Source organism: Homo sapiens, chromosome 11 (assembly GCF_000001405.40).
Source record: "Homo sapiens chromosome 11, GRCh38.p14 Primary Assembly".
In the NCBI taxonomy this organism is placed as follows: Eukaryota; Metazoa; Chordata; class Mammalia; order Primates; family Hominidae; genus Homo; species Homo sapiens.
The window spans coordinates 16,859,275-16,874,528 of NC_000011.10; the positions used below are offsets into that span (position 1 = coordinate 16,859,275).

At 44.9% G+C, this 15,254-nt stretch overlaps 1 protein-coding gene across 36 annotated transcripts in view, besides 1 other annotated feature; it reads right to left on the reverse strand.

Annotated features, from left to right (window-relative positions):
• PLEKHA7 (pleckstrin homology domain containing A7) overlaps window positions 1-15,254 on the reverse strand; it is a 237,118-nt gene that overhangs the window by 81,978 nt on the left and 139,886 nt on the right. For 35 of the 36 annotated variants that reach the window (XR_007062454.1, XM_047426441.1, NM_001329630.2 and 32 more), the window contains one exon: window positions 11,825-11,908. Coding sequence is in view for 31 of the 36 variants with exons in the window: in XM_047426441.1 (XP_047282397.1) it covers window positions 11,825-11,908 (84 nt within the window). In the remaining 5 variants the exon portion in view is untranslated. Of the gene's footprint in view, window positions 1-3,969; window positions 5,284-11,824; window positions 11,909-15,254 lie in introns of those variants that run through there. The other variant, XM_024448369.2, reaches the window with a different exon arrangement.
• Window positions 5,374-5,513: an enhancer, noted in NCBI's record as "active region_4481". NCBI's record gives its function as "activates an Ori minimal core promoter by ATAC-STARR-seq in GM12878 lymphoblastoid cells {active_cell/tissue: GM12878}" and the evidence as "EXISTENCE:reporter gene assay evidence [ECO:0000049][PMID:35858748]".

Consider the following 15,254-nt stretch of genomic DNA (forward strand, 5'->3'; position numbering starts at 1 on the left):
TTTCTTTGATGCTCTCAACGTAGAACATGATCTCTCAGGTTTTCTAAGGATGACTATGACTTTTGGAAATAACTACAAGTTATCTGGAATAACAACTAGTTAAAAAAAATGGTGGTCGTGCTTGGGGATGCCATTTGTTATCCATATGAAAAAAGTCTCAAAAACAATTTTCTCACTTGGCTGAAAACCTGGCTCTGATGGAAACTTCTAGTGGTGATTTACCACAATGGGTAATGAGCAGTGGGACATCAACAGTGCATGTGTACAGCCTCCCGAAGAGACAACACTGAAAGGAACATCCTTCACTTGGATGAGGACATTCTGATACATTTGTTTCAGCCAGTTACATCCCACAGGCATGTTTCCCATTAAGAGCCTGGTGGGGCAGACAATGATTTGTCCTCAACTCCTCAGAATGAGTGTACTCTGCTGATGAGTCTCACCTAAGAACCGAGTCTCATCTAAGAACCAACTTCTCTTCCCAGAGAAGAGCCTGTGCCCCCGAGCTGAGCAACCTTGAAAGGCATTCAGTTCCCAGCAGCATGCCCTCAGGCACACTGCGTCACGCAGACCCCTGGGAGAGGAGACCCAAAAACCTGCACACGCAGACTGCTGCTGTCCTCAAATAAAACCTATTGACTTAAAAGCCTGTTTGCCAGGTTTCTGTGTTATCGGAAATCCCAAAGTACAATGGGATGATTAACAAAGACTTCTCTCTCCCTGGTTTGGGCTACATGAATGCTGATTATTTTGCTGGAGGGATGTGGGCTGAAGATGAAAACAGTGAGCTAGAGTTTGAACCCAACCTCCTCCCATCTGAAATGAACAAAAGAACTTAGGACTAGACAAAATCAGTCTGGAGAAGCCCAGCTGGAAAGTGACTTGATTTTCCTCTGAACTTTGTCAAGGATGTGTGAAGTGAGCCTGAACAGGAAGACACTTTCTCTGTCCCTATATATAAAAGGAGTGCTTCTGCTTCCTGCATATTTGGCACTAAATGCATATAACTGACAGATGTAGTAAGAAAGAGAGGTTATAGATACAGAAGCTATTTTTTTTCTGTTGGGTCTGAAATTAGGTGGGTTTGGTCAATGAGATCTGGTTAATGGGAGGCTCTCAATCAACGGTGTGAGCTGAAGTAGAATGAAGGAATCAGAGCAAGATGTCTATGATGCTGCAACAAGTGGTCACCAAGACAATGATCACCACCTCTTCAGGACAGGTACACAAAGTCAAGCAAGCAGAGGGATTAGGCTGTACTTGTTGAGCACCTACTGCATGCATGCCAGGCACTTGGCCTGCATTATCTCACTTAACCCTGCCAAGTCAGTTTTGGTATCTCTATTTATAGAGGAGGAAACTAAGGCTCACAGAGACAAATAACTTATTCGAGATAGAAATTGGACTCCAAAACCTGGGCTTTGCCACAGAAAGACCCTATGGCAGGTCCCAAGGTCTGAGAGAAGCAGGCTTTTGCTCTTTTCAGCCCTAAGACCAACCCCCAGGTCAAGGAAATCTTGTGGTGGTGGAAAGAGCAAGAGCCCAGAATAACTGGATCTCAGCCAAGTCCTGCAGCTTACTGACTCCTCCACAAGTCACATCAGTTCTCTGGACCTTGGTGTCCAGTTTTGCAAATTAAGTGGAAACCACCTCTCATCTCACAAAGCAGTTGTGTGGATTGAAATGACACTGAAAACCATAAAGCACCCATGACATACAAAGCATTATTTGGAACTGTTACCAGTGAAGACCCCAGAATTTAAATCCCAGCTACACTTTATTTCCAAGGCATATGTCTCCAGAAAGCTCAAGGTGCCAAACAATTAACTTCTAAACAACAGTCATCTCCTACAAACATCCCAATAGCATCTTATAAAAATAAATTGTTTAAAGCACAGTAATTCTGTGTCTGGAGGACTGAGTTCCCATTCTTTCCCCAGGAGAACAGTAATGTCAAGAATCATCAAGGGCTAGGAACAGAGGCTCCATAACTATAAACCTAGCACTTTGGGAGGCTGAGGCAGGAGGATCATCTGAGGCCAGGAGTTCAAGACCAGTCTGGTCTTGAGACTCTGTCTCTATTAAAATTAAAAAAAAAAAAAAAATCAGCTAGGCGCAGTGGCTTACACCAGTAATCTCAGGCCAAGGCAAGCGGATCGCTTGAGCTAAGGAGCTCAAGACCTGGGCAACATAATGAGACCCCGTCTCTATGAAAAATACAAAAATTAGCCGAGAGTGGTGGTGCACGCCTGTAGTCCCACCTACTAGGGAGGCTGAGGCACAAGAACTGCTTGAACCTGGGAGGCAGAGGCTGTAGTGAGCCGAGATCACGTCACTTCACTCCAGCCTTGGCACAGAGCAAGGCTTGCTCTCATTCATTAAATAAATAAGTCATCAACACTATGATGGGAGGTTAGAAAGCTATAAGGAAACACAAATCTTTTACTGAGAACACCTTATTAAATGACACCTTTATCCCATTAATTCCTGGGAAAGCTGGCCCCCAAAGTCATGCTCTGTCCTCAAGGAATCTACACACAGAGAGCTCGGCTAAAACTACTGGTATAGAGGAAAAGTAAATGAGAAGAGGACACATTCACAAACACCAGCACCTTTTTTTTAGTAGCTTACACCCATCAGCTAAGGGTTTGGGGAAAGCAATGCACAATGAAAACTAGGAAACAAAAGAAAGCTCTTATCCCAAACAGGCAGACACCTCCCTCCACACCCCCTCTTCTCAGAGAAAGAGACACACACAGACAGACCGCCAACGCTCACTGTAAACTCCCAACAGCCTGGGGGAGGCTGTCTGACACGGGTTTTCATTCAGCAACTGTGGTCTCACTACTCAACTATGGCTTATTGTGTTCCTTCTCCTTCCCCCTCAAGTCCTTTCTTGAACACAGGCTGCAGTTCCTCACCCCACTCTACCCCAGGAGCTAGAAACCAGCCCAAACAGCAGCCTCTCACTTGGCATGAAAATAACCCATAAGCACTGTGTGCCGCCATCCCCACCTCCCCATGCCTGTTCCCCAAATCGGAGTATTGCCCCGAACCTGGCACAAGTCCTTTTCTGTTGTATGACCCTGGACCAGTCTCTTCTAACCAGTGCCTTTGGTGAGCCCTCTTCTAGCCTATCTGCTCCTCCTAGCTTAACAAGCAGCTACTTCTCTCATTACATAATGATATTTTTTACTGGAGATCTGAGCACATCCAAGACTAGCAGGAGGTAAAAGAAGAGGACAAGAAGGGAAGTCACAGGAAGAAACAAAATTACTACTTACAGGAAGCAGCTTCCCTTCCTCACACAGCAAAGCCACCACTGCAGCATTTTTGCCCAGCACAGACAGAGCCAAAGACAGAGCCAAAGACATGGTTGCTGTGTGGCAATGACTGCATCCCCAGTGCTGATGCCCTTCAAAACAGCAATACCAAAGGCCCAGCCAACACCCAGGTGTTTGAATGAACTAAAGACCCCATCACCATCTCTTCCCCTACGTGCGACTATCATAGACACTGTCTCCTAGTCCAGGGAAGAAAACTGAACAGTCAAGTTTCTGCATCTGCTTGCCAGGTGTTTCCATTTTTCCTCATTTTTCTGCTACCATGGCAACCAAATACAACAGGCAAAGCTAGCCCAAGACTGCCAGCATCTAGAGACAAGGTGCTGGCTATGTCAGCTGCAGACAGCAAAGCATCAGCCTCACAGCCCAGGGCTCAGCAGATGAGCAACAGGACAGACTCCTGTGGGAGTTTAGGAGCAACTCCCCTCTCCAGTGCTCTAAATCTCACGCCAGCTTTACCAACTTGTAGCTGCAGAAGGAATAGGAGACAGCCATCTCCTAGCAGCAAGTGATACCCCGCCCCCGAACCCATAATCAGCACATGCCATAGATGAGTCTCACCCTGCAACCTGCAAAATGAACCGCCTTTAGCAAAGAGGTCAAAGATCTGGAAGATAATTCTTACCTTTGGAAAGACAGTATCTTCTTTAAGTGCTATCCTCCAAACACCGCTCACAACATTCCAGGAAATTCCAACTTGTGTTTCTTTTCCAAATAATCCAATGAGAAAACTGAAGGCTGCTCAGACCCCAATGGAAACAACAAGCTAAACTCACTGGGATGCTGGGAAAGGCAGGTCAAGCAAGGGCACCCTCCAGGTTTGGAGCCTCCAAAGTGATCTTGCATGCCTTGCAGCTGGCGTCTCAGCACACAAGCGGGCCCCTGAACTTCCTAAGCGCATACTGTCTTCTCTCAACCTTAGGCCCCACCTCAACATCAAATGCTTGGCAGAGCCTGGGGATCGGTGTACACAGCCTGCTGTCAGTCAAATGCTAGCGTCACTGCTCGGGAACGCTTCTCTCCTCTTCCCCGAGAGCTGCAGAGGCATTCGTCAGTGGCTCCCTGGGCAGCCCAGCACTGAGGAGAAAACACTCCTGTACACGGGCACCAAACATCAAAACCACAGTCCTGGAAGTTCTGTGTCAAGGACTACCCCTTTAGGAGGGGCCCTGCATGTGGCTCTTTTAGCCAGAAAGGGTCTGGCTTCAAGCTCACAATTCAAGAAAGTCACTGAGAATCAGGAAAGAGGCTTAGAAGGGAGCAAAATGATCCAATAACTGGAAATTAGGCCCCAAGATAAAAGGTTTGAGAACATTTTCTGGAGAAAAGACTACTGAGGAGGCTTGGCATCTTTCAAACAAGTGCAAAGTTATTACAGATGAAATTTCATTGCTACAAATACAATTACAATCTCTCTGCAGCAGTAGCCTACTCACTCAGCGCACTGAGTATGGACAAGGAAGAAGATTGTCCCCAGAAGACCTCTGAAATGAGAAGCAGTATAGCATAGTGTTTAGAAGCATGGCATCTAGGACCAGACTATCTGGATTCAAATCCTGACTCCACCACTTACTCTCTGTGTGACCTTTGGCAAGACTCTTAACCTCTCTGTGCCTTAGTATTCATGATAATAATGGTATCTTCCTCACAGGATTGCTGTGAAAATTAAATATATGTAAAGCACTTAGAAAAGTACCTGCTAATAGTAAGGGTGCTAAGTGTTAGCTATAAAAATAATAATAATACTAGCAATACTATTAATATTATTTATTTTAAAAGCTCCCAACTCTTATTCTAGGAGGTAAAATACTTCATTTAATGTTAAAGAGGAAATTCTAGATCTTGAAACAAGGGATGCTATAAACTGTCTGATACAGTTTGGCTGTGTTCCCACCCAAATTTCATCTTGAATTTGTAGCTGCCATAACTCCCACATGTCATGGGAGGGACCCAGTGGAAGGTAATTGAATCATGGCAATGGGTTTTTCCCATGCTGTTCTTGTGATAGTGAGTAAGTCTCACAAGATCTGATGGCTTTATAAAGGGGAGTTCCCCTGCACACACTCTCTTGCCTGCAGCCATGTAAGATGTGACTTTGCTCCTTATTTGCCTTCCGCCATGATTGTGGGACCTCCCCAGCCATGTGGAACTGTGTTAATTAAACCTCTTTCCTTTATAAATTACCCAGTCTCAGGTATGTCTTTATTAGCAACATGAGAACAGACTAATACAGTGTCTTTCTTAGAAAATTATGGACTGGGTTGAAATTTGTATGCCTATAGCTTTCACCCATTAATCTGACACCTGCCTTTGCCCACCACATGATAAATGTACCCCACTTCCACTTGCTAGCCCTTCTTGAAGACTTTTACCACATCCTCCATCTTCTCTCCTGCAGATTAATCACAATAGGTCACAGGATAGGGCTTCTAGAACCCTCACCATAATGGTCCCCCTCCTCAGGGGAATATCAATTGCTCAACACCTCTCTTAAAATTTAGTATCTAGAACATGGTGTTTGGAGCTTGGCATGCCCTTTGTACTCCATCAATTTGTATTGAATGAATGAATGAAGTGTTTCACAAAAACCACGATGTAACAGAACTATTCTCCCCCTTTCTCTATGCATTGTACTTTTATTAATACAGCCTGAGCTTGTATTAGCTCTCCCATGAGGCATTTTCACAAACCTACTGGCTTGGGAAGTGTCCCCTGGGGGAACAAGGCTACAGAACCCATTGACTGATGCCTAGTCCCCTCAGGGGGTGTAACAAAAAACTGGGTAGCATAACAGAAAAGGTCAAATGAGAAAATTAGCACTCTAGGCCAGGCGGGTGGCTCATGCCTATAATCCCAGCGCTTTGGGAGGCTGAGGCAGATGGACTGCTTGAGGCTAGAAGTTCAAGACCAGCCTGGGCAACACAGTGAAACCCCATCTCTACTAAAAATACAAAAATTAGCTGGGTGTGATGGTGGGCTGAGGCAGGAGAATCACTTGAACCCAGGAGGTAGAGGTTGCAATGACCCAAGATCACACCACTGCACTCCAGCCTGGGCAACACAGGGAGACACCATCTCAAAAAAAAGAAAAGAAATGAGCACTCTAGTCATACAGCAAAAGCAGCTTCTTAGTGAGACTCAAAAGGTCCCACTTCCCTTGATAAATCTGGACTGTGGTTTATTAAGGGTAACGATTAGTGCTGTCCAACAAATACTTCATTTATTTATTTATTTATTGAGATGGAGTCTCACTCTGTCGCCCAGGCTGGAGTGCAGTCACATGATTTCAGCTCACTGCAACCTCTGCCTCCCGGGCTCAAGTGATTCTCCTGCCTCAGCCTCCCGAGTAGCTGGGATTACAGGTGTGCGCCACCACACCAGGTTAATTTTTTGTATTTTTAGTAGAGATGGGGTTTCATTGTGTTAGGCAGGGTGGTCTCGATCTCCTGACCCACCCGCCTTGGCCTCCCAAAGTGCTGGGATTACAGGTGTGAGCCACTGCACCCAGCCCAAAAAATACTTCTGATTCTCTTCTCAGGAACATAATAAATATGTGCTTCTCTTCTCCCCTTGAAGTTTGAAGTGGTCCCGTAACTTACTTTAGCTGAAGAAATGTAAGTGAAAGAGCCAGTGCCCAATTTACAAGTTCCCTTACAGAAATGAAGCCACCCTCAGTAAAGAGGGCAGAGCAGGCTGGGCACAGTAGCTCATGCCTGTAATCCCAGCACTTTGGGAGGCCAAGGCGGGCAGATCACCTGAGGTCAGGAGTTCAAAACCAGCCTGGCCAACATGGTGAAACCCCGTCTCTACTAAAAATACAAAAATTAGCTGGGTGTGGTGGCGGGCACCTGTAATCCCAGCTACTCGGGAGACTGAGGCAGAAGAATCGCTTGAACCCGGGAGGCGGAGGTTGCAGTGAGCTGAGAGTGCACCATTGCACTCTAGCCTGGGCAACAAGAATGAAACTCTGTCTCAAAAAACAAAAAAGAGGGCAGAGCAGAGTCCATCAGGTGACCTATGATGGACATGAAGCAAACATGAGAAATTCGCCTTTGCTGTTTTAAATCATGAAGATTTTGTTTGTTGTTACTACAGCAGACACTAGCCTATCTAGCCTGAATCTATATGACTGATACAGGAACAAGAACACTCAGAGCTCATGTCCTCTGGCCCCATTAGATCACAGCTTTCACATTATTTCTTTCGTTTATGCCTCTGACCTGTAAAATGAGAAACCATCGTTTGGAGGGGCATGGATGGGTTATTCCAAGCAGCTCAGGCAAGTCCTACCTGCCAACAGTGGGGAGATCTATCTGTTCACACCAATAATGCCCTAGGAGAAGTCACCATGGGATGGGTTTAAATTTTTTCTTTTCTTTTATTCCCATAGAAGAAGAAACTCAAGATTATGTGACTAAAATCTACCTAAGATTGTCACTGCAGCCCAGAGAATGGATGGACACTTGGGGGTGGGGGGTGAAGTGGGAAGACACCTGGGGGTGAAGAGAACTAGGGAGTAATTTAGAAGGGATGAAAAGAGCAAGTTGCCTAAATCAGTAGTTCTTAAACTCTTACCTGCATCAGAATCAACTGGAAGGCTTGTGAAAACACAGATTGCTGGGGCCTACCTCTAGAGTCTCTGATTCAGTAGGCCTGGGGTGGGGCCAAGAATTTACAGTTCTAACACCTTCTCAGGTGATGCTGATTCAGAGATCACACTTTGAGAACCGCTGCTCCAGAAGAATTACCTACAAGAAACTGGGGAGTGGAGGCTCTGGCAAGAGGAGTCAATGTGGTTACAACTCTCCAGTGCTTGGCCTCAGTGGATTCTCTTTGGAGAAGAAAAAGAAAGGAGCCAGTTTTCCTTTTTCCACCCAAGACATTAGTCTGAGACATAACACACTACATAACAAAATTAAGCTCCTCTAAGGGAACAAAACAAGAATCTCATTCATTTGCATAATTTATAAAAACTGTTTCTGTGAGGAGACATCATGCCTCACTCACCCTCCAGAGCTTCCCCAGGAGGTAAATCTAAGTGTATTTCATTTAGGAGGAAGCAATTTAGGTAATTGGTTGCAGCCCCCCTCTTCAACCGTATCTGCACACTCCCCTTCACAAACCTCCACTGCAAGTCAGCCTTCTTTCACTTTGACCCCACCAAGGCTGGACACACTCTCCTCAGCTGTGAATGACACCTACACACATGCACGTGTACACACTTATCTTCCCTTATCTAAATCTTCCCTCTTCCTCCAGTTTAAGGCCAGAGGCTTCAAGAAAGTCTTTCCCCTCTTTCATCCCTATCATAGTCAATCAATCACCAAATTCTGTTCATTTTACTTCCCAAGTACCTCCAGAATCCACCCAGTGCTCCTCATTTTTCACTTAAACTCAACTGGTGTAGATCCCCCATGCTCTACCCTCCTTCCCCTCTAAGTCTTTGCCCAGGTTGTTCACCTTGACTAGACAGATATCAGTTTAAACCACATCCCTTCCCAGATGAGGAGGCCTTCTGTGGTCCCTAAGCCAGGTTAGAGTCCCCTTTATCAATTCCCATTGAACCCTATGTTTCCTCTGTCATGAACATTTATCACATTTGTGATCTCTTATTACCAGAGCAGACCCTAGCCTATCCTGACTGATTCTATACGACTGACGCAGGAATTAGAACACTCAGAACTCATGTCCCCTGGAACCATCAGATTATAGCTTTCACATTATTTCTCTTCTCCATGCCTCTAATCTGTAAAATGAGAAACTATCCTTTGAGGGGCATGCACACATTATTCCAAGCATCTCAGGTGAGTCCTACCTGCCAACAGTGGGGAGATGTATCTGTTCACACCAATAAGAGCAGGCAAATTCCCTACTCAACTGTAAGCTCCTCACCACCAGGACCACATCTGTGTTGCTTGCTGCTGTACCTGTAGAGTCCAGCACAGCCCCAGACACAATGTAAGTACTCACTAGGTATTTAATGTATAAGTGCAGGAATCCTCCCTTCTTCTCAATGCCTATAGCATATTCTGCCTGTTGCAAGGAATGTCTGGCCAATCAGTGCCACACACCACCTGAGACAAGCAGGTACCTCCATGACATCCAGGAGATGGGATCTAGAGGAAAAAAGTAAGCCTTAAAAAGGAGGTGCATCTTCTCCTTGGAAGCTGGATGGAATTGAAATTAACTACAGGGATGTTTCGGTAGTAGGAAAGAGGCTACCTTCTGAAGAGAAGTGGTCAGTAGACAAAGTCTTCTGTTAAGAATGAGAGCAAAAGGAATTGTGTGTGACAAGTGTTTTGTAATGGTAGGTCTGCATTTTCCTGCAGCTCTTATGGAAGTTGGTAACTTCCCAAGCTAAAGGTTCTGACGGACTCTCCATCCAGACTTAATAACAACAGGCACCTGTGTCTCCGGGATGCCTGAGGACTGAACTCAATAACCTCCCAAGAGCTTCTGACCTTCAGGATTCTATAAACAAATTCATTCTGAGCGGAATTTGGGGAATCCACATATCCTGGCTCTTTTTACACAGCAGTTCTTTATCAATCTAGGAGACAAGACAATCTTTACCTTCCACTCACTCTCTTTACTAGTATTAATGCTTCCAAAGTCAGATTCCCAACCCCAGCCCCTGACTGTCATCTCCCATGGACCACCAGTATCAAAATAACTTAGGAAGTGGCCTCTGACTGTGACAGGAGTTGGACTTGATGAAGGGAACACCACGCAAAGGCAGCACAGGCCTTGAAGCCTGGCTAACCTGGGACGGCATCTTGGCTCTCCTAAGCTGTGTGTCTCTGGGCACTTCTTTGGGTCTCAGGTTCTTCATCTCTAAAATGGTGATGGTCTATCTCTCAGGATGATCCTATTAAATGAGATATGCATGTAATGCCTCCGGCACAGAGCATATGTGCAAGGATGTCAGTTTCCCCATAATTATAGCTTTCTAGCTTTAAACGTACTGTGGGATAATGATTCTAAGCTGAAAATACTATAAAGATGAAATGGTATGTGTGGAATTTGCTTCAAAATAATCTAGGGGATGAAGGTGAAGGGATAGATAAAATAAAATTAGCCATGTTTTGGAAATTGTTGAAGATGGGCAATGAGTATATTGAATTTATTACCGTATCTCTTTTTGTATATTTTAATTTTTTTCCATAATAAAAAGTTTAAAGGTGTAGATACTAAGGGAGGGAAATGCTGTAAAAATATAAATACTGAGAGTTTATTTTAAGATCATATTTGGTCTATGTAACTAAACAGAGGAAAAATGATTTGAAGAAGAAAAAAACCTTTAAAGCTAACATCTATTTGTTACTTTCCAAAACACAAATATTTTCTTCAAATAGAACTGTCTCAGATGAATGGAAGGGGACAGAGCCACCTGTGCACATTTCTTACCTTCCTTTTTTGGGAAAACACATCCTGCTTGGGCTGTACATGTATTTTTATGTAGACAAGCCCTGGGTGGTAGAGCCCACCTGAGCACCTGAGAGCCCTGCTGAAACTGAGCTGAGGAGCAGGAAAGTTCCCATGTTAGGAAAAGAGAACAGAAAGAACTCAGAATGTCCAGGGACGATGGGGATTACCAGCTCTCCTCTCTTTGGACTCCTATTTGAGGCTTCCCTGGGAGGCTGATTCAGCTCAGTCTGAGGGTACACCCCCTACCCCCACCCCCACACACACACTACACACACACATTTTTTAAGAGATGGGGTCTAGGGCAGGATGTGGTGGCTCATGCCTGTAATCCCAGCACTTTGGGAGGCTGAGGCAGGAGGATTGCTTCAGCTCAGGAGTTTGAGACCAGCTTGGGCAACATGGCGAAACCCTATCTCTACAAAAAATACAAAAATATGCTGGGTGTGGTGGTGCATGCCTGTAGTTCCAGCGACTTGGGCGGCTGAGACAGGAGGACTGCTTGAGCCCAGGGAGGCCAAGGCTGCAGTGAGCCAAGATTGTGCCACTGCACTCCAGCCTGGGTGACAAAGCCTGGGTGACAAAAAGACCCTGCCTCAAAAAAAAAAAAAAAAAAAAGATATGGGGTCTTGTTAGCCTTGAACTCCTGGGCTCAAATCCATCCTCCCACCTCAGCCTCCCAAGTATCTGGTAATACAGGTGTGTGCCAGCTATATTTTCACCCAGATGAGTGGGTCCTCTTCAAACAGGGCTAATGTGCCAGAAGATATAGCAGGAGAAAGGGTTCATTCAGGGGAAAGGGAACTTTAAAGAGGCTCTGACAATACCCATCATAGCACATCCCTGTATCAACTCTCCTCTTCCATATCTTGCCACTGAAAGAAGTCTGAAGGTTGAAAAATAAAATTCTTCTCATATTCCTGTTTGAATCAACCAACCCACTCACCCCAAGCCCCTCTGTCTCAGAGAAAACAGTCCAGTAAGTTTTGTTTTCAGCAAATGCCTTTAGTCTCCCATACTCTGCCCAGATAAGGAGAATACATAAAAAGACTTACTCTTCTTGAAGAATGAATTCACTATTTTCTGGAGAAAACTGTCCCGTCACAGGATGCCTGAATGCTGTGGTCTGCTGGTTATGGCTAAAGAGAAAGAGAGAAGATGGATGAGAATTCGTGTGAATGGAAGGAGTACAGACACGACAGGTCAGTCAGCAATGTCTGGTGACCCTGGTCATCAAAGATTTCACAGGGGGAGAAATGTGGGCCTTTCCTCTGAGACACACTTAGTCTGTCAGAACCCCGCCACACTAAGAAAAGCCCAAGAATTTCCAGCTCAGGTGCCAGAGCCCACCTACGAGACAGGGAGACTTCTAAGGAAGTCTTGGCTCCAAGAGAATACTGCATCTTGGAGAGACATTCCATGAAGTACTTACTCCAGCAAACTGAGACGATGAACAAAAAGTAACACTTTAAGACAGTACGAGCTAAAACAAGAATGAAGGAAAGCAGATGACACTTAAGACAGCTTCCAAATCCATGAATCTAGCAAAAGAATTCTAAGAATTAACCACCCACCCACAAAAATCTATCTTCTGAAAATTCTTCTCCCTACTACAAAATGTCTTCACTTCAGTGATGGGATATAAATGTATGGGCATGTCTCTGCAACACGACCTGCACAATTTCAGCACGGTGGAGTTTCTATCACCCTTTTGAAGTTAGGAAGGATCAGCTTCCACACCAAGCTGACAGACACAAAGTGTGTAGGTGTTTTGTGCATCAACAAAGGCTGCTTGGTTCTTTGAAAGGGAGGAGGAGCTGGCTCTAGAGACTGTTGGTTTGCTCCACAAATAAACTAAACTAACCCTCCTCTTTTAAAAACAAAATATGATTTATTTAAATTTCTTTCAAAATCATAGTAAATGTAGACTTTTTTTTTTTTTTTTTTTTAAGACAGTCTCTGTTACCCAGGCTGGAGAGCGGTGGTGCAATCTCGGCTCACAGCAACTTCCGCCTCCTGGGTTCAAGTGATTCTCCTGCTTCAGCCTCCCAAGTAGCTGGAATTACAGTTGTGCACTACCACGCCCGGCTTATTTTTGTATTTTTAGTAGAGATGGGCTTTCCCCATGTTGGCCAGGCTGGTCTCAAATCTCTGACCTCAAGTGACCCACCCACCTCAGCCTCCCAAAGTGCTGGGATTACAGGTGAGCCACCGTGCCCCACCTGTAGACAATTTTTAAAATGTAGAAAGTAAAAAGTCACCCATGACCTCTCTATGTGGAGATATACCCGGGTATGTTCCCCTTCCAAGTTTTAAATTTTCTTCTACTTAAAAAGAATCACTTTAGGCTATTGAGAGTGATTTTAGTGTATATAAAAATCTGTCCTGCTTTTTCACATCCTATTAACATAGAAAAAGTCCTATATTATTAAGACTTCTTTATTTGAAATAGCTGAATAATAGTCTTATCATATGAATGTAAACAAAAATTTTTTTGACCGGGTCCCGCTCTGTTGCCCAGGTGGGAATGCAGTGGGGTGATCATGGCTTGCTGCAGGCTCAAACTCCTGGGCTCAAGTGATCCTCCCACCTCAGCCTCCGGAGTGGCTGGGACTACAGGTACATGCCACCATGCCCAGCTAAGTTTTGGGTTTTTTTGTAGAGATGAGATCTCACTATGTTGCATAGGCTGGTCTCAACCCTAGGCTCAAGTGATCCACCAGGCTTACCTCCCAAAGCGTTAGGATTATGCCTGGCCAAATGTAATTTTTTTTTTTCATACAACCACTCAGAAAGTTGTCTACTGGGCACCCATGTGCTAGGCACTCCTTTAGGTACTGGGGATAAAAGGTGAACAAAAAGTCCTTATCCCATGGTATTTACATTCTAGAAAGATTTATACTCTTCTAATGCTAGATATTTTAGGTGCCTCCCCCCCACTATTATAATCTATATCTCTTTCAATGTAATTTGAATTTTCCAATTCAAATTTTTCCTTGGGTTAAAGTCTCAAAGGTAAAATTACTGAATCAAAGAGCATGGTCATTTTTTAAGGTTCCTAGTACAGAGAGTTAAAATGCTTTCATAATCAATAGATCATCTCAGTTGGTATTGTTAAAATATTAGCCCCATCTCCAAATTGAGACTAAGCCTCCCTAGAGATTACTATGTCTAAATCAGCATAGCACAAAGGTTATAAAAGAAAAACTCTCTAGGCCTACAAAGTCTTTTTTTACTCTGCCCTAATGCCTGGTCAGAACCTCTGATGTCCAGGTGTCTGGGGTAAACTGGGCACTGAAGGTTAGAGCAGCCTGAACCCTAACAAGCCAAATGTGAAGCCAGCCATGAGGCCAGGCTGTTCCTTAGTCCTGCAACTGTGTACCACCTCACCATACTGTCACCCTTCCCAACCATAGCCAGCCTCTGAATTCCCTGCTCCTGGTCCCAGGCAAGCCCGTGGAATTCTATGACCTCATTTGGCAGACAGCAGACTAGTCTTCCCAAAAAAGCAGAGTTAAGTCTGAGCATCTAAGATAAGGACAAGAAGCAGAAGCAGGCATTCTTAACACATGTTTTAAAAATCCTTGCACCACGTTCAAGGGTTAGGCTTTATTTACACCCAGCTTTTCCTTTTTTCTTTTGAGATGGAGTGTCGCTCTGTCGCCCAGGCTGGAGTGCAATGGCGTGATCTCGGCTCACTGCAACCTCTGCCTCCAGGGTTCAAGTGATTCTCCTGCCTTAGCCTCCCAAGTAGCTGGGATTATAGGCACCTGCCACCACATTTGACTAACTTTTGTATTTTTAGTAGAGGCAGGGTTTCACCATGTTGGCCAGGCTGGTCTTAAACTCCTGACCTCAGGTGATCCGCCCACCTCAGCCTCCCAAAGTGCTGGGATTACAGGCATGACCCACCACTCCTGGCCCAGCTTTTTCTAGAGACTTATCTCCACTTGCCAGAGAATCTGAAAATGCAAACTTTAAATCTAAACCTGCCTCATTTCCACCTGGAGGGAAAAAAGCCCTGCTCATAACGGAAATAACCATAAAGCATTAACACCACTATCTGTGATTATCTCTATAAATGCTTTGCAGTTTTAGAGAGGTGAATAGCTCAGAGAGGTGAATGGGGGGAGTGCCTTGTACAAGATAACTTTGTTGATAAATTATAAGACTGGGACATGGCACAGGTGCAGTGGCTCACACCTGTAATCCTAGCACTTCCTGAGGCTGGGGCGGGTGAATCACTTAAGCCCAGGAGTTTGAGTTCAACCTGGGCAACATGGTGAAACTTTGTCTCTACAAAAAATACAAAAATTAGCCAGGCATGCTGTCACGCACCTGTAGTCCCAGCTACTTGGGAGGCTGAGTTGGGAGGATCACCCGAGCCCAGGAGTCAAGGCTGCAGTGAGCCATGATTGCACCACTGCACTCCAACCTAGGTGACAGAGTGAGGCTCTGTCCCAAAAACAAACAAACAAAAAAGTG